Source organism: Homo sapiens, chromosome 20 (genome assembly GCF_000001405.40).
Source record: "Homo sapiens chromosome 20, GRCh38.p14 Primary Assembly".
Taxonomy (NCBI): domain Eukaryota; kingdom Metazoa; phylum Chordata; class Mammalia; order Primates; family Hominidae; genus Homo; species Homo sapiens.
Window position 1 is genome coordinate 31618247 of NC_000020.11, and position 18638 is coordinate 31636884.

At 48.6% G+C, this 18638-nt stretch overlaps 4 annotated features.

The window, feature by feature from the left end:
- Positions 494-995: an enhancer, noted in NCBI's record as "H3K4me1 hESC enhancer chr20:30206543-30207044 (GRCh37/hg19 assembly coordinates)". NCBI's record gives its function as "activates a minimal SCP1, AML or CMV promoter by ChIP-STARR-seq in primed H9 embryonic stem cells {active_cell/tissue: H9 hESC(primed)}" and the evidence as "EXISTENCE:reporter gene assay evidence [ECO:0000049][PMID:30033119]".
- Positions 11949-12149: a silencer, noted in NCBI's record as "peak4184 fragment used in MPRA reporter construct". NCBI's record gives its function as "represses an SCP1 promoter by STARR-seq MPRAs in K562 erythroleukemia cells {active_cell/tissue: K562}" and the evidence as "EXISTENCE:reporter gene assay evidence [ECO:0000049][PMID:32103011]".
- Positions 15457-15957: an enhancer, noted in NCBI's record as "H3K4me1 hESC enhancer chr20:30221506-30222006 (GRCh37/hg19 assembly coordinates)". NCBI's record gives its function as "activates a minimal SCP1, AML or CMV promoter by ChIP-STARR-seq in naive H9 embryonic stem cells {active_cell/tissue: H9 hESC(naive)}" and the evidence as "EXISTENCE:reporter gene assay evidence [ECO:0000049][PMID:30033119]".
- Positions 15958-16458: an enhancer, noted in NCBI's record as "H3K4me1 hESC enhancer chr20:30222007-30222507 (GRCh37/hg19 assembly coordinates)". NCBI's record gives its function as "activates a minimal SCP1, AML or CMV promoter by ChIP-STARR-seq in naive H9 embryonic stem cells {active_cell/tissue: H9 hESC(naive)}" and the evidence as "EXISTENCE:reporter gene assay evidence [ECO:0000049][PMID:30033119]".

The window sequence follows — 18638 nt, forward strand, 5'->3', positions numbered from 1 at the left end:
ACCATTTCGCTGTAATCTACTGGTTCAAGCAGTCACAGAAGCCCTCTCAGGTTCAAAAGGGAGGAGACATACACCCCCCTTTTGACAGGAAGAATGTCAAAAATTTGAGGCCATTAAGAAATAAAATGGCCAGGTGCAGTGGCTCACGCCTGTAATCCCAGCACTTTGGGAGGCCAAGGCAGGCGGATCACCTAAGGTCGGGAGTTTGAGACCAGCCTGACCAACATGGAGAAGCCGCGTCTCTACTAAAAAAAATACAAAAATATTAGCCGGACATGGTGGCACATGCCTGTAATCCCAGCTCCTCTGGAGGCTGAGGCAGGAGAATCGCTTGAACCCGGGAGGCGGAGGTTTCGGTGAGCCAAGATGGCGCCATTGCACTCCAGCCTGGGCAACAGGAGCGAAACTTTGTCTCAAAAAGAAAAAAAACAAAAAACAAAAAACAAAGAAAGAAAAGAAAAGAAACTAAGCCGGGGTGCCAGGGTGCATCTGTAGTCCCAGCTACTTTGGAGGCTGAGGGGACAGGACCACCTGAGCCTGAGCCCAGGAGTGGGTAACATAATGAGACCCTGTCTCTAATTATAAAACAAACAAACAAACAAAAACTGTCATGAGGATAATAAGCTATTCTAAGTGCAGTGTGTTCAGAGAGGTTCAGTTCCTTGCCCAGAGGACAATTACAGATGTGAATAGTGATAAAGAAGGAAACAACAAAAAACAGGTTGAAAGGAGATGGGGGCCGGGTGTGATGGCTCATGCCTTTAATAGCAGCACTTTGGGAGGCCGAGGTGGGTGGATCACCTGAGGTCAGGAGTTGGAGACCAGCCTGGCCAACATGGTGAAACCCCATCTCTACTAAAAATACAAAAAAACTTAGCCGGCTGGGCGCGTGGCTCACACCTGTAAAAATACAAAAAACTTAGCCGGGAATGGTGGCAAACATCTGTAATCCCAGCTACTCAGGAGGCTGAGGCAGGAGAATCTCTTGAACCCGGGAGGGGGAGGTTGCAGTGAGCCAAGATCGTGCCACTGCACTCCAGCCTGGGTGACAAGAGCAAAACTCTGTCTCCAAAAAAAAAAAAAAAATTAGCCAGGCATGGTGGTGCATGCCTGTAATCCCAGCTAATTGGGAGGCTGAGGTAGGAGAATTGCTTGAACCTGGGAAGGTGGAGGTTGCAGTGAACTGAGATCATGCCACTGCACTCCATCTTGGGCTACAGAGTGAGACTCTGACTCAAAAAAATAAAAACAAAAACAGGGAACAGAAGAATTATTCAACTATGCTCCACTTTAATCCCTGACCCACAGAATCTGTGAGATATAGTAAAACGGTTGTCGTTTTAAGCCACTAAATTTTGGGGTAATTTGTTATGGAGCATTTGTTATGGTAATTTGTTGTAGCCAGAACCATCATGTTTATTTGATTGCTTACCATGTTTTCTGTCTCTGGAATGGGTGCTCCATGAACTGCTCTGTTCTCTGCCATGTGCTCACTGTCCAGCCCAGAGCCTGGCACATAGTTGGTGCTTAATAAATATTTGCTGAATAAATGAGAGAGTGGATTAATAGATGTATGCCCACCACACTCGGGTTCAACTCCGTTCATCCATCTGGGTAGAGTTTCTGGGATAATCCTGCATATGCCTTGACATTGGGAAGAGGGGCACTCAGGCACCTGCCATCCCCTGGCAGCCTCGTCCCCAGCCCTGGAAGGGGGTACTGAGAGTGGCTTTGGTCACCAAAACCTATTGTTGCATGAGGGCTCAGTTAGTGCCTACCTGCCATGACCTCCCTTTTCTGTTCCAACCTCCAGACTTTGCATAAATGACTTCCAGTGATGTCTTCCAAGTCTCATTTTTCTGAATTCACCTCCTCCAGAAAGCTGGTCTAGTTTGGAAACTCTCTCAGGCTCCCTTCCTGACCTCCAGAGACAACCCTCCTCCCTCTTGTTGACTACAGACAATTGCAGGGATTGCTTCAGGATCATTCCCACCCAGAGCCCCCTGGTGCCCCACATGGCCACCTCCCACCCTGCACAATTCAGTCCCCTAGCAATGACATTCCCAAACCAAAATCCCTGCTATGTGTCAAATCCTGTGCTGGGTGTTTTGCTGTCAGTATCTCGGTTCAACACACCTCCACAACTCAGTGAGGTCAGATCCATGATTGTCCCATTTTATGAATGAGAAAGGTGAGGCTCCAAGAGGAAAAACTAGTTCCAGGTACCTGGCTGGCAAGTGCTCTTCTAGGATCCAGTTCATCATCATCATCGTCATCATCATCATGACTATAACTTACTAAGCACTGACAGTGAAGATAACGATCTACCAAAGGATGCCCAATTCAAGGGGTTAAACTTCAAGCAGAAAAAGGATATTTTCTTAGTTTCAAAGTATCTCCCTAAGTATATTTAATAACTACACAGAGTAAAATAATTTTTTTTTTTTGAGATGGAGTCTCACTTTATCACCCAGGATGGAGTGCAGTGGTGCAATCTCAGCTCACCACAACCTCCACCTCCCGGGTTCAAGCAATTCTCCTGCTTCAGCCTCCCCAGTAGCTGGGATTAAAGGTGCACACCACCACGCCCAGCTAATTTTGTATTTTTAGTAGAGACGGGGTTTCACCATGTTGGCCAGGCTGGTCTTGAACTCCTGACCTTGTGATCCACCCGCCTCGGCCTCCCAAAGTACTGGGATTACAGGCCTGAGCCATCGCACCCGGCCTAAAATAATAATTTTACAGTGGAGAAGTCCAGTACATACTGCCCTAGATAACTGATCAAGGTTAACATTGGTGGTCATACATGTCAACATCAGGGCCTCTGCAAGGATGCACTGAGAAAGGCATGACACCACTTCTGTGACATTTTCCCCATAATTCATGACTTCAATTTGATCACAAGAAAATCTCAGACAAATCCAACTTGAAAGACATTCTACCAAGCAGCTGAATAGGACTCTTCAAAAGTGTCAAGGTCACAAAAAAGAAGGAAAGACCGAGGAACTGTCACAGATTGAAAAAGACTGCTGGTGCCGGGTGTGGTGGCTCACACCTGTAATCCCAGCACTTTGAGAGCCTGAGCAGGAGGATTGCTTGAGCTCAGGAGTTTGAGAACAGTCTGGGCAACATGGTGAAACCCTGTCTCTACAAAAAAAATACAAGAAATTAGCTGGGTGTGGTGGGCTCACTCCTGTAGTCCGGGCTACTCAGAAGGCTGAGGTGGGAGGATCGCTGGAGCCTGGGGGGCGGAGGTTGCAATGAGCTGAGATCATGCCACTACACTCCTGCCTGGGGCATAGAGTGAGACTCTGTCTGAAAAGAAAAAACAAGAAAAGAAAAATCTGGTTTAGGCCGGGCGGGGTGGCTCACGCTTGTGATCCCAGCACTTTGGGAGGCCAAGGCGGGCAGATCGTGAGATCAGGAGATCCAGACCATCCTGGCTAACATGGTGAAACCCTGTCTCTACTTAAAAAAAAAAAAAAAAAAAAAAAAAAATTAGCCAGGCATGGTGGCGGGAGCCTGTAGTCCCAGCTACTTGGGAGGTGAGGCAGGAGAATGGCTTGAACCTGGGAGGTGGAGCTTGCAGTGAGCCAAGATTGCACCACTGCACTCCATCCTGGGCAACAGTGCAAGACTCCGTCTAAAAAAAACAAAAGAAAGAAAAAAAAAGATCCTGGTTTGGATCCCAGAACAGAAAAAGGACATAAGTAGGAAAACAGATGAAATCGAAAAACTTCTGTACTTTAGTTCATAGTAATGTACCAAGGTTAATTTCTTAGTTTTGATAAATGTTCTGTCACTGTTTGAGATGTTGACAGAAGGGGAAGCCAGGTGAAGGGTATACAGGAACTCCCTGTACTATTTTTACATCTTCTGTAAGACTAAAATTATCTCAAAAGGAAAAAAGACATTAAAATAAAAGAGAAAGGCTGGGTGTGGTGGCTCACGCCTGTAATCCCAGCACTTTTCGAGGCCAAAGCATGAGGATTGCTTGATCCCAGGAGTTCAAGACCAGCCTGGGCAACATAGTGAGGTCTTGTCTCAAAAAAAAGTAAAAAAATTAGCCGAGCATGGTGACACAAGCCTGTACTCCCAGGTATTGGGAGGCTAAAGTGGAAGGATCGTTTGAGCCCAGGAGGTTGAGGCTACAGTGAACCATGATCACACACCACTGCACTCCAGCTGAGACCCTGTTCCCCGCCCCCCCAAAAAAAAGAGCGAGAGAGAGAATGAAGGCTAAAGTGGAGTAAGACTACCATAGCCCTCTCTCCCACTGATTACAACAAAAAACTCTGGACAGCCTGGGCACGGTGGCTCACGCCTGTAATCCCAGCACTTTGGGAGGCCAAGGAAGGTGGATCACTAGAGGTCAGGAGTTCGAGACCAGCCTGGTCAACATGGCGAAACACTGTCTCTACTAAAAATACAAAAATTAGCTGGGCATGGTGGCGGGCACCTGTAATCCCAGCTACTTGGGAGGCTGAAGCAGAAGAATCACTTGAACCCAGGAGGCAGAGGGTGCAGTGAGCCAAGTTCGTGCCACTGCACTCCAGCCTAGGCTGCAGAGCGAGCCTCCGTCTAAAAAAGAAAAAAGAAAACAAAAAACAAAAATCAAACTCTGGACAAATACAGAAAGCACCTACTTAAGGAGGACCTCTGAAAAGTAAACAATAGAAAATAGATTGGCATAGGAAGTCAACATTTGAAGAACAGCCAGCATGGCAGTGGAAAGTTTCCTGGTGAATTTTCTTTCTGTATTTTCTGGCCTTGACCCAAAGGACTCTGAATCAGGAAACTGTGTTTGACACCAGCAGCAAAAACCTTCAAAAGAAAAGTTTAATATTCTGGCCAGAGAACCAGGAAAACACGCCCCTGTTAGCCAGACAGTGTGAGGAGAATTTTGAGTATTTTGTTGTTGTTGTTGTTTAAATTATTATGAATATTATTATTATTGAGACAGGGTCTGACTCTGTCACCTAAGCTGGAGTGCAGTGGTGCAGTAACAGCTCACTGCAGCCTCCACCTCCCTGGTTCAAGCAATCCTTCCACCTCAGCCTCCCAAGTAGCTGGGACTACAGGTGTGTGCCACCATGCCTGGCTAATTTTTTTTGTATTTTTCTTTTTTTGAGATGCAGTCTCGCTCTGTCACCCAGGCTGGAGTGCAGTGGAGTGATCTCGGCTCGCTGCAAGCTTCGCCTCCTAGGTTCATGCCATTCTCCTGCCTCGGCCTCCCGAGTAGCTGGGACTACAGGTGCCCGCCACCACGCCCGGTTAATTTTTTTGTATTTTTAGTAGAGATGGGGTTTCACCGTGTTAGCCAGGATGGTCTCGATCTCCTGACCTCGTGATCCACCCGCCTCGGCCTCCCAAAGTGCTGGAATTACAAGCATGAGCCACCACACTTGGCCTTTTTTTTTTTTTTGTATTTTTCATAGAGACAAGGTTTCATCATGCTGCCCAGGCTGATCTCAAACTCCTAGGCTCAAGCGATCCTCCCACTTCAGCCTCCCAAGGTGCTGAGATGATGGGTGCAAGCCACTGTGCTGGGTCCTTCACAGGCTTTTAACAGGACCCAGAGTCTCACAAGACAATATTTTATTTATTTATTTATTATTTATTACTTTTTTTGAGACAGAGTTTCACTCTTGTTGCTCAGGTTGGACAGGTTGGAGTGCAATGGCACGATCTCAACTCATTGCAACCTCCGCCTCCCAGGTTGAAGCCATTCTCCTGCCTCAGCCTCTGGAGTAGCTGAGATTACAGGCTGCCACCATCACACCCGGCTCATTTTTTGTGTTTTTAGTAGAGATGGGGTTTCACCATGCTGGCCAGGCTGGTCTTGACTCCTGACCTCAGGTGATCCACCCGCCTTGGCCTCCCAAATTGCTGTGATTACAGGCATGAACCACCACACCTGGCCACAAGACAATATTTTATTTTATTTATTTATTTTTATTTATTTTTTTTTTTGAGACGGAGTTTTGCTGTTGTTGCCCAGTCTGGAGTGCAATGGCGCAATCTTGGCTCACCACAACCTCGGCCTCCCAGGTTCAAGCGATTCTCCTGCCTCAGCCTCCTGAGTAGCTGGAATTACAGGCATGCACCACCACGCCCGGCTAATTTTGTATTTTTAGTAGAGACGGGGTTTCTCCATGTTGGTCAGGCTGGTCTCAAACTCCCAACCCCAGGTGATCTGCCCTCGGCCTTCCGAAGTGCTGGGATTACAGAAGTGAGCCACCGCGCCCGGCCACCAGACAATATTTTAAATGCCCAGGATACAACACAAAGTTACTCAACAAGGAAAATCTCACCAAATCTCAAAGAAAAAAACAATCAATAGATGCCAGCACACACACACACACACACACACACACACACACACACACACACACCCAGCCATTAGAATTGACATACAAGGCCAGGCATGGTGGTTTACGCCTGTAATCCCTGCACTCTGTGAGGCTGAGGTGGGAGGATCCTTTGAACCCAGGAGTTCAAGACCAACCTGGGTAATACAGGAGACCCTGTCTCTGCAAAATTTTTTTTTTTTTTTGAGACAGAGTCTTGCTCTGTCGCCTAGACTGGAGTGCAGTGGGGCAATCTTGGCTAACTGCAAGCTCCACTCCCGGGTTCACGCCATTCTCCTGCCTCAGCCTCCCGAGTAGCTGGGACTACAGGCGCCCACCACCACACCTAGCTAATTTTTTTTGTATTTTAGTAGAGACGGGGTTTCACCATGTTAGCCAGGATGGTCTCGATCTCCTGACCTCGTGATCTGCACGCCTCGGCCTCCTAAAGTGCTGGGATTACAGGGGTGAGCTGCCATGCCAGGCCAAAATATTTTTTTTAATAAAATAAAAATTTTTTAAAAGTTGAAATGATTATATTGATAACAAGTAGATTTAGAACAAGAAAAAAATTATCAGAGAAAAAAGGACATTATATGATGATTAAAGGGTTAATTCATCAAGAAGACATGACAATTCTGAATGTGTACGCGCTTATAAAGTTCCTAAATATATAATGCAAAAATGATCTAAAAAGGGAAATAAAGTCACCATTATACTTGCGGATATCAACTCTCTTCTTTCAGTAAATGATAAAACAGAAAATCAGCAAGGACTGGGCACGGTGGCTCATGTCTGTAATCCCAGCACTTTGGAAGGCTGCAGTGGGCAGATCACCTGAAGTCAGTAGTTTGAGACCAGGCTGGCCAACCTGGTGAGACGCTGTCTCTACTAAAAATACAAAAAATTAGCCGGGAATGGTGGTGCATGCCTGTAATCCCAGATCCCAGCTACTCGGGAGTCTGAGGCAGGAGAATGACTTGAACCCGGGAGGTGGAGGTTGCGGTGAGCCGAGATTGTGCCATTGCACTCCAGCCTGGGCAAAAAGAGCAAAACTCCATCTCAAAAAAAAAAAAAGAAAAAAAGAAAGAAAAATCAGCAAGGACATAAAAGAGCTGAACAACACTATCAACCAATTTAATCAAATTGTTTTTTGTTTGTTTGTTTGCTTTTGAGACCAAGTCTCCCTCTGTTGCCCAGGCTGGAGTGCAGTGGTGCGATCTTGGTTCACTGCGACCTCCACCTCCCAGGTGCAAGTGATTCTCCTGCCTGTGCCACCACGCCTGGCTAATTTTTGTATTTTTAAACTTTTGTTTGTTTGTTTGTTTTTGTTTTTGAGATGGAGTCTCGTTCTGTTACCCAGGCTGGAGAGCAGTGGCAAGATCTCAGCTCACTGCAATCTCTGCCTCCTGGGTTCAAGCGATGCTCCTGCCTCAGCCTCCCCAGTAGCTGGGATTACAGGCACCAGCCACCGCGCCCAGATAATGTTTGTATTTTTATTAGAGACAGGGTTTCACCATGTTGGCCAGGCTGGTCTCGAACTCCTGATCTCAGGTGATCCACCTGCCTCGGCCTCCCAAAGTGCTGGGATTACAGGCGTGAGCCACCACACGTGGCTGATTTCTTGATTTCTAGTGTAATTCCATTATGATCAGAGAATGTATCACCTACATTTTTAAACATTTTTTAAATATAAAGGCCCAGAATATGGTCTATCTTGGTGAATGTTCCAAGTGTACTTGAAAATAATGTTTTGTCTCTACTAAAATGCAAAAGTTAGCTGGGCGTGGTGCAGGGTGCCTGTAACCCCAGCCACTGGGGCGGCTGAGGCTCAAGAATCACTTGAACCAGGGAGGTGGAGGTTGCAGTGAGCCATGATAGCACCACTTCACTCCAGCCTGGGTGATAGAGGGAGACCCTATCTCAAATTAAAAAAAAAAAAAGAACTGAAAAATATCTGGAAAACCCCTAAATATTTGGAAATGAAGCAACACGCTTCTAAATAAATCATGGGCCAGAGAAGAAGTCTCAAGAGAAATTAGAAAATATATACATGTGTAGTTTTGTCTGTGTGCATGTGTGACGTAGTCTCGCTCTTTCACCCAGGGTGGAATGAAGTGGTGTGATCTTGGCTCACTACAACCTCCGCCCCTGGTTTCAAGAGCTTCTCCTGCCTCAGCCTCCTGAGTAGCAGGGATTACAGGCGCTTGCCACTGCACCCAGCTAATTTTTGTATTTTTAGTAGAGACGGGGTTTTACCATGTTGGCCAGGCTGATCTCGAACTCCTGACCTCAGGTGATTCGCCTGTCTTGGCCTCCCAAAGTGCCAGGATTACAGGCGTGAGCCACTGTGCCTGGCCAGAAAATATTTTAAACTGACTTAATGAAATAAAATTACAACATATTAAACTTCATAAAATAGAGCAGAGAGAACTTTCTACTTTTTTTTTTTGAGACCGAGTCTCACACTATCACCCGGGCTGGAGTGCAATGGCACAATCTCCGCTCACTGCAACCTCCACCTCCCAGGTTCACACTATTCTCCTGCCTCAGCCTCCTGAGTAGCTGGGATTACAGGCAACTGCCACCACACCCGGCTAATTCCTTTTTTTTTTTTTTTTTTTTTTTGAGATGGAGTGTCGCTCTGTCTCTCAGGCTGGAGGCTGGAGTGCAGTGGCACGATTTCGGCTCACTGCAAGCTCCGCCTCCCGGGTTCCCGCCATTCTCCTGCCTCAGCCTCCCGAGTAGCTGGGACTACAGGCTCCCGCCACTGTGCCTGGCTAAATTTTTTAAATATTTTTTAGTAGAGACGGGGTTTCACCGTGTTAGCCAGGATGGTCTCGATCTCCTGACCTCATGATCCACCCACCTCGGCCTCCCAAAGTGCTGGGATTACAGGCGTGAGCCACCACGCCCGGCCTGTACCTGGCTAATTTTTCGTATTTTTAGTAGAAATGGGGTTTCACTATGTTGGCCAGACTGGCCTCGAACTCCTGACCTTGTGATCCGCCTTTCTCGGCCCCGCAAAGTGTTGGGATTACAGGCGTGAGCCACCGTGCCCAGCCTCAAATTTTCTGGTATTAAATGGGTATATGAGAATAGAAGAGTCTTAAATCAATAGTACAAACTTCCACTTTCAGAAACTAGAAAAATAACAGCCAATTAAACCCAAAGCAAGTAGACAGAAAACATAATAAACACCAGAAGTCAATGCTATTGGATATAGAAAAACAATAGAGAGAAAATAAATGAAACAAAAGCTTGTTCTTTGAAAAGATCAATATGCATATTAGTGGTCTCCTTCAAAAAAGGGGAAATCTGGACACAGAAGTAGACATAGAGGGAAGATGGCGTAAAGAGACAAGAGAGGACAGCCATCCATAGTCCAAGGAGAGAGGCCAGGAACACATCCTCCCTCACAGCCCTTAAAAGGAACCAATCCAGGGATCTAGAACTAGAAATACCATTTGACCCAGCCATCCCATTACTGGGTATATACCCAAAGGACTATAAATCATGCTGCTATAAAGACACATGCACACGTATGTTTATTGTGGCACTACTCACGATAGCAAAGACTTGGAACCAACCCAAATGTCCAACAATGATACACTGGATTAAGAAAATGTGGTACATATACACCATGGAATACTATGCAGCCATAAAAAATGATGAGTTCATGTCCTTTGTAGGGACATGGATGAAGCTGGAAACCATCATTCTGAGCAAACTATCACAAGGACAAAAAACCAAGCACTGCATGTTCTCACTCATAGGTGGGAACTGAACAATGAGAACACTTGGACACAAGAAGGGGAACATCACACACCAGGGCCTGTTGTGGGGTTGGGGGAGGGGGGAGGGATAGCATTAGGAGATATACCTAATGTAAATGACGAGTTAATTGGGTGCAGCACACCAACATGGCACATGTATGCATATGTAACAAACCTGCACGTTGTGCACATGTACCCTAAAACTACAAGTATAATAATAAAAAAAATATATATATATAAAAGGAACCAATCCTACCAACTCCTTGATTTTGTACTTCCAGCCTCCAGAATTGTGAGATAATACATTTCTGTCAGCCAGTCTCTAGTACTTTCTTACAGCAGTCCTAGCAAACTAATACAACTAATAAATGAATTTAGCAGGGTTGTAAAATATAAGGTCAATATACAAAAATCAATTGCATTTCTTTTTTTCTTTTTGAGATGGAGTCTTCTTTGTCGTCCAGGCTAAAGTGCAGTGGCGCCATCTTGGCTCACTGCAACCTCTGCCTCCCAGGTTCAAGTGATTCTCAAGTCTCAGCCTCACAAGTAGCTGGGACTATAGTCATGCACCACCACGCCCAGTTAATTTTTGTATCTTTAGTAAAGATGGGGTTTTGCCATGTTGGCCAGGCTGGTCTCGAACTCCTGACCTCAAGTGAACTGCCTACCTCAGCCTCCCAAAGTGCTGGAATTATAGGAGTGATCCACTGTGTCCAGCCGCATTTCTATATAATATCAATGAACAATTGGAAATTGATTTTTTTTTTTATTTTTTAGAGACAGGGTCTTGCTATATTATCCAGGCTGGGCTCAAACTCCTGGGTTCAAGCAATCCTCCCACCTCAGCCTCCTGAGTAGTTACAGGCACGCACTACCACGCTTGGCTTGAAATTTTTCAAAAGTATGATTTACAATTGCACCAATAGGCCGAGTGCGGTGGCTCATGCCTGTAATCCTAGCACTTTTGGAGGCTGAGGCGGGTGGATCACCTGAGGTCAGAAGTTCAAGACCAGCCTGGCCAACATGGAGAAACACTGTCTCTACTAAAAATACAAAAAAGAAAAAAAAAAAAAAATTAGGCAGATGTGGTGGCATGTGCCTGTAATCCCAAATACTTGGGAGGCTGAGGCAGGAGAATCACTTGAACCCAGGAGGCAGAGGTTGCAGTGAACCGAGATCACACCACTTTACTCCAGCCTGGGCAAAACAGTGAAACTCTGTCTCAAAAAAACAAAACAAAACAAAAACAAAGCAATTGCACCAATAAAAATTAAGTAGTGAGTATCAGTGTAACAGCCAGATCCTACTTCATCCCCATGTAGAGGTGGAGGGACTGAGTGAACAGGCTTGGTGTGCAGAAGATGCAGGCCAGGCAAGCCTGTGCATAATTTTGGATAATGAAAAATACTATGAGGAAAATAAATCTAGCCAGGTGCAGTGACTCACGCCTGGAGGCCTAGCACTTTGGGAGGCCGAGGCAGGCAGGTAGCTTGAGTTCAGGAGTTCAAGACCAGCCTGGGCAACATGGCAAAACTTCATCTCTACAAGAAATACAAAAATTTTTGCCAGGGATGGTGGCACACACCTGTAGTCCCAGCTACTTGGAGGGCCTGAGGCAGGAAGATTGCTTGAATCCAGGAGGCTGAGGCTGCAGTGAGTCAAGATCCCACCATAGCACTCCAGTCTGGGTGACCATATGAGACCCTGTTTAAAAAAAAAAAAAGAAAAGAAATCTAAACTGCATAGGGGTCTTAGGGAAGGGCTCTCTGAGATGACATTTAAGCTGCAATTTGAAGGACAGTGGTTAGGGTTTGGATGTCAATACATAACAACTTCTTCTTTGCCCAAGTTCTGACACAACAGAGAGCAGATGAGGAATCAGGTATATTGAAATCAAAATAACACTTCCTTACTGTTCCATTCACTGTTCCTGCATGACAAACCACCTACAAACCACCTGGTGTTTAGTGTGCAAAATAACTGATGCTCATGGTTTCTGTGGGCCAGGAGGTCAGAGAGGGCACAGCAGGGATGACTTGTCTCTGCCCCATGAAGTCTGGGGCCTCAGCTGGAAAGACTCAATGGCTATGAGGTCCTTGATGGCTGGGGCTGGAATCATCTGGAGTTGTACATGTCTGGAAATGGATGCTGGCTGTAGGCTGGCACCTCAGCAGGGCCTTGAGCCAGCACATCTACACATGACTTCTCCATATGGTCTCTCCACCTGGGCTGGCTTGGCTCCCTCATAGCATGATGGCTGGGTTCCCAGGGAGAATGTCCTAACAGACCACGTGGCTTTTTTCTTCTTCTTTTTTTGAGATGGAGTTGTGTTCTGTTGCCCAGGCTGGAGTGCAGTGGCACAATCTCAGCTCACTGCAACCTCTGCCTCCCGGGTTCAAGTAATTCTCTGCCTCAGCCTCCCGAGTAGCTGGGATTACAGGCGCCTGTCACCATGCCTGGGTAATTTTTTTTTTTTTTTTTTTTTTTTTTTGAGACAGAGTCTCGCTTGTTACCCAGGCTGCAGTGCAGTGGTGCGATCTCAGCTCACTGCAACCTCCGCCTCCCGGGTTCAAGCGATTCTCCTGCCTCAGGTTCCTGAGTAGTTGGGGTTACAGGCGCCCACCACCACGCCCGGCTAATTTTTGTATTTTTAGCAGAGACAGGGTTTCATCATGTTGGTCAGCCTGGTCTCGAACTCCTGATCTCAGGTTATCCACCTGCCTCGGCCTCCCAAAGTGCTGGGATTACAGGCATGAGCCACGGCGTTGAGCCTATTTTTTTGTATTTTTAGCAGAGATGGGGTTTCACCATTTTGGCCAGGCTGGTCTTGAACTCCTGACCTCACAATCCACCCACCTCAGCCTCCCAAAGTGCTGGGATTACAGGCGTGAGCCACCCCACCCGGGCCCACATGGCATTTTTATGATCTAGAAGTCACATAGCAACTTTCACCATATTCTGCTGTTTAATGCTGTCACAAAGGTACATCCAGGCTGAAGGAAGGGGGACATAGATCCCACACTCAAGTGTCAAGGTCATAATTGTACAATGAGCATGTCGAATTGGAGATATTGATAGGCTATCTTCTTTGAAAATACAATTTGCCACAATTCCTGATAAACTAGTTTGTAAAGCATAGCTTTGGTCTGTGGGTGAGAGGCCGGGTGTATTGCTCCGGTAGAGCTCTCTCAGATGGAACAGGTGAGTGGGAATAAGACTTGCCCTTGAGAGAAGAGCATTTCAGCAGAGGGAAGAGCAATTACAAAGGCCCTGTCATGGGCAAGGTGGGTGTGTTCTAGGAACTGAAGCCCAGTGTGGCTGGGGCATGGTGGGAGAGCAAGAGAGGCTGATGAAGAAGCTGTATTTGGAAGGTTTGGTAGTGGGGACCTTGAACGTCAGGCTAAGGAGTTTATTGGGAAGCCAGCGGTGCCAAGAAAGGCTCAAGGATACCATGAGGCTGTCCCCACATAGGCTGTCCCCACATCTGGGGGCCAAATACCCATGCCCATGTGCAGGAGCCAATTGTGTCTCAGAGAAGACAGAGGCCCTGGCCTCCAGGATGTGAAGGCACTAGTGCCTACCCCTAGGGCTGATGTGACACCTGCACTCCCAGATCTCACCACCTCAGCCCCTTTGCCAGGTTGGACGCCTCCCTCAGCCCCACTCCTCTAGTGTGTCTGCCCTGGTAGGGAGGAGGAGACGGCAATGGTATGAAGAGATCTGACCTGCCCCAGGAAGTTTCCATCTCTAGGCCACCTGTCCTGTCCTGTCCCGGTGAAATCTAGCCAAGGGCATTCATCTACCCCGATCATGCTATGGGTTCTGCGGCAGGCCAGGAAACCTGCCATTAGTGGCCATCCACTCCTATGGCAGTCCCAGCTCAACGTCAGTTTGTTTTTTTGAGACAGGATCTTGCTCTGTCACCCAGGCTGGAATGTAGTGGTGCAATCACAGCTCACTGCAGCCTCGACCTCCCAGGTTCAAGCACTCCTCCCACCTCAGCCTCCTTAGTTGGGACTGCAGGTGTGCGCCACCACATCCTGCTAATTTTTTGATTTTTTTTTTTTTTTTTTTTTATATAGAGACAAGGTCTCACCATTTTGCCCAGGCTGGTCTTGAACTACTGATCTCAAGCAATCCTCCCACCTCAGCTTCCCAAAGTGCTAGGATTACAGGGGCGAGCCACCGTGCCCAGCCCTCAGTGTTGGTTCTGGCCTGGCGTGTCTGTCCACGGTTTTAGAAGCGCTTGCTGGACGGTCCACCAGAGCTGCGGGTCTTCCCGCGACGTCCTCCGAGCCTGAGCTGCTGCCGAGACACCCTCAGCGTTCGGTGATTCCCATAGCTCCGCAGAGCCTCCGCTCCCACAGGTGAGCTGGGTGGGCCTTGCTCTCCGCTCCTGGCCAGGGCCCTCGGCTCACTGACCTCGCCCATCGGCTCGCTGGCTCTGCCCCCTCGGCGCCCGGTTCCCTTGCTGTCGCCTGGCCCCGCTCCTTGTGGTTAGCTCTGCCCACTCTCGCCTCTCCCCGCTCCTCCTGTACTAGACCTCCTCCCTGGGTTCAAGGGGCTCCCGGGCCTCCTGAAGGGCTGGGGGTCTGGGTCTGTGACGCTTTGTCCAGCTCCTCTTCCTATTTTCACCTTAGGGTCCTGCGTGAGGCCTAGCTCTTCCACAGTATCCCCTCTGGGCTGGCAGGCCGGAGGTGGGTCCTGTGTGATACCTAGAGCCTGGCTGGTGGGGGGATGCTGAGGCCATGGCTCAGGTCTTTGCATCTGGGCAGAATCTGGGGGCTCCCTGGAGCTGATCAAGTGAGCGTGAGCTGCCATCCCTCCTGCTGGCAGGTCTCAGCCTATCCCAGAGCTCTCAGCATGTCGGGCCTGTCACGACAAGTGGCCTGAATGCCGTGTCCGGAGTCCCTTCCACCCTTGGACCCCCCGCGGTTCCAGGAGAAGACCCTTATTCCTCGGCTCTGGGACCCCGAGTGGCCTGCCTTAAGGGACAGTCCGTCTCTTCCCAGGTTCAGGACCTTGAAAGGAGGCTCCGCAGTTGTCCTGCAGGCTATATTCACCGTGAGCTACTCAGGGCCGGCCTCCACCCCATGGCCCTCAGTCCGGGGCTGGGCTTCCCCCACAGATGTTCCTTATCACAGCATCACTCAACTTCTGGAGCCTGATGTTCCCACAGAGGCGGGGGCGGAAGAGGGCAGGGAAGAACAGAGGATCGCCTTTCCCAAATGCCTTCCCTTGGAAGACCCTGTGAAACTGAGGAGATGGGGGAAACTGAGGCCCAGAAATGGTGCCGCTTGGCCAGAGTGGCTGTAGTAGAGCCATGCATAGACACAGGCCACTCACTCCAGTGCAGCCACCGCCCTCCCAGCCACCCTGAAAAAGGTCTGGCAAGACTCATGACCTTCCGCCTGGCGCAGTGGTTCACGCCTATAATCCCAGCTCTTTGGGAGACCAAGGCAGGAGGATCCCTTGAGCTCAGGAGTTCAAGACTAACCTGGGCAACATAACAAGACCCTGTCTCTACAAAGCTTAAAAAAAAAAAAAAAAAAAGACAAGGCATGCTCTCCTCCAGGTTCTTAAAGAAGGAGTGTCTTCCCCTGTCCTCTGTCCATAGGGCTGTTCTGTAGAACATCCTGCTCAGTGACCGAGGTAAGGGGTGGTCCTTTTTTTTTTTTTTTTTTTTTGGAAAGGGAGTCTCACTCTGTGGCCCAGGCTGCAGTGCAGTGGTGCGACTTCGGCTCACTGCAACCTCCGCCTCGCGGGTTCAAGCGATTCTCCTGCCTCAGCCTCCCAAGTAGCTGAGATTACAAGTGCCCCCCCCACCACGCCCAGCTAATTTTTGTCTTTTTACTAGAGACGGGGTTTCGCCATGTTGGCCAGGCTGGTCTCGAGCTCCTGACGTCAGATGATCCACCCGCCTTGGTCTCCCAAAGTTCTGGGAGTACAGGCATGAACCACGGTGCCTGGCCAAGGTGATCCTTTTGGGGGTCTCTCACGTTTGGAATTACCTTGGTTGGGGAAGGGGAGGAGCAGCTCCCAGAGTGACCAGCAGAGGGCGCTGGGCCCAACATGGTCAGTTCTGGGAGCTGGACTCTTGGAACTCGGGAAGACTCCCAAGCTGCCTTCTCAAAGTTTTGTCTCTGGCAGCGTCTAGAATGGAGGTGATGTGCACTCTAGGGTCCCTCTAACACCTTCCCTTGAGCCCCTCGCCTTCTAGGCTCATCTGCCCCCAGGACTAAGCCCCCTCCCTTTATTTATTTATTTATTTATTTATTTATTGAGACAGAGTCTCGCTGTGTCGCCCAGGCTGGAGTGCAGTGGTGCGATCTCGGGTCACTGCAACCTCCGCCTCAGCCTCCCTAGTAGCTGGTACTACAGGTATGTGCCACGACACTTGGCTAATTTTTGTATTTTTAGTAGAGACAGGTTTTCTTCATGTTGGCCAGGCTAATCTCGAACTTCTGACCTCCAGTGATCTGCCCACCTTGGCCCCCCAAAGTGCTGAGATTACAGGCATGAGCCACCATGCCTGGCCAGCCTTTAGAAACTGTCTTTAGCAGGCCCCTGTGGACTCACTAGGGTATAGGAACCCTGATGGAAGGCATGGGGGCTGGGCATACCCCATGGACCTAGAGCCAGGAGACCTGGAAAGCTCTGGTCTCCAGGCCACCGAGGGGACCCCCAGCCCTCTCCCATTCATCCACCATCCGTATACTAACAGTCCCGGGACACATTTACTGAACTTGTGCTCTGCTTCATTTGAACACATCACTCCTCTTCTTAACTTTGGTTGCCTCCCACCTTCATTTTATTTTATTTATTTATTTATTTATTGAGACAGGGTCTCATTCTGTTGCCCAGGTTGGAGTGCAGTGGTGCAATCTCAGTTTACTGCAACCTCCACCTCCTGCCTCAGCCTCCTGAGCACCTGGGACTACAGGGGTGTGCCACCATGCCAGCTTAATCACCTTCTTTAAATAAAATCCAAGCTCCTCACTACCGCCTACAGGTCCTTCTCGGTGGTCCAGCCCACCTCTCCCTCCATCCAGCCTCCCCTTTAACCATGACACTCTGGCCAAGATGACCTCTCTTCTTTTGTTATTGTTTTTGTTGTTGCTTTGAGATGGAGTTTCGCTCTTGTTGCCCAGGCTGGAGTGCAACGGTGGGATCTTGGCTCACTGCAACCTCCGCCTCCCAGATTCAAGCGATTCTCCTGCCTCAGCCTCCCGAGTAGCTGGGATTACAGATGTGCACCACCACACCTGGCCAATTTTTTTATTTTTAGTAGAGACGGGGTTTCACCATGTTGGCCAGGCTGGTCTCAAACTCCCGACCTCAGGTGATCCATTCGCCTCGGCCTCCCAAAGTGCTGGGATTATAGGCATGAGCCACCGCACCTGGCTGTCTCTTCTGTTCAGTTGTTTTTTTTTTTTTTTTTGAGACGGAGTCTCGTTCTGTCGCCCAGGCTGGAGTGCAATGGTGCAATCTTGGCTCACTGCAACCTCCACCTCCCGGGTTCAAGCGATTCTCCTGCCTCAGCCTCCCAAGTAGCTGGGACTACAGGTGCATGCCACCACGCCTGGCTAATTTTTTGTATTTTTGGTAGAGATGGGGTTTCACCGTGTTAGCCAGGCTGGTCTCGATCTCCTGATCTTGTGATCCACCTGCCTTGACCTCCCAAAGTGCTGGGATTACAGCGTGAGCCACTGCACCTGGCCTGTCTCTTCTGTTTTTTGAACATGCTGTGTTTTCCTGCCTCTGGGTCTTTGCACAGGCCTTTTCCTCTGCCTAGAACAGAATTGTAAGCCCTGTGGGGGCAGGAACTATGTCTGGTTTTTTTTGGCTCTATAGCCCCCAACATTTATCCTGGTAAACAAGTATGCAATAAATGCCAGCTGAAACAGGTCTTTATAAGTTTTTTTTAAGTTTTTTTTTTTTTTTTTTTTTTTTTGAGGAGTCTCACTCTACCACCCAGGCTGGAGTGCAGTGGTGCGATCTTGGCTCACTGCAACGTCTGCCTCCCAGGTTCAAGCGATTATCTAGCCTCAGCCTCCCGAGTAGCTGGAATTATAGGTGTCCCCTGCCACACTCGGCTAATTTTTGTATTTTTAGTAGAGACGGGATTTCACCACGTTGGCCAGGGTGGTCTCAAACTCTTGACGTTAGGTGATCTGCTCGCCTCCGCCTCCCAGAGTGCTGGGATTGCAGGCATGAGCCACCACGCCCAGTTTTATAAGTAATTCTTGAATAAATGTGCCTGAGCCTTGTCTATTTTTTTTTTTTTTTTTTTTGAGATGGAGTCTCGCTCTGTCACTAGGCTCGAGTGCAGTGGCATGATCTTGGCTCACCGCAACCTCTGCCTTGCGGGTTCAAGCCATTCTCCTGCCTCAGCCTCCTGAGTAGCTGGGACCACAGGCGCCTGCCACCATGCCTGGCTAATTTTGTTTGCATTTTTAGTAGAGACGGGGTTTCGCTGTGTTAGCCAGGATGGTCTCCATCTCCTGACCTC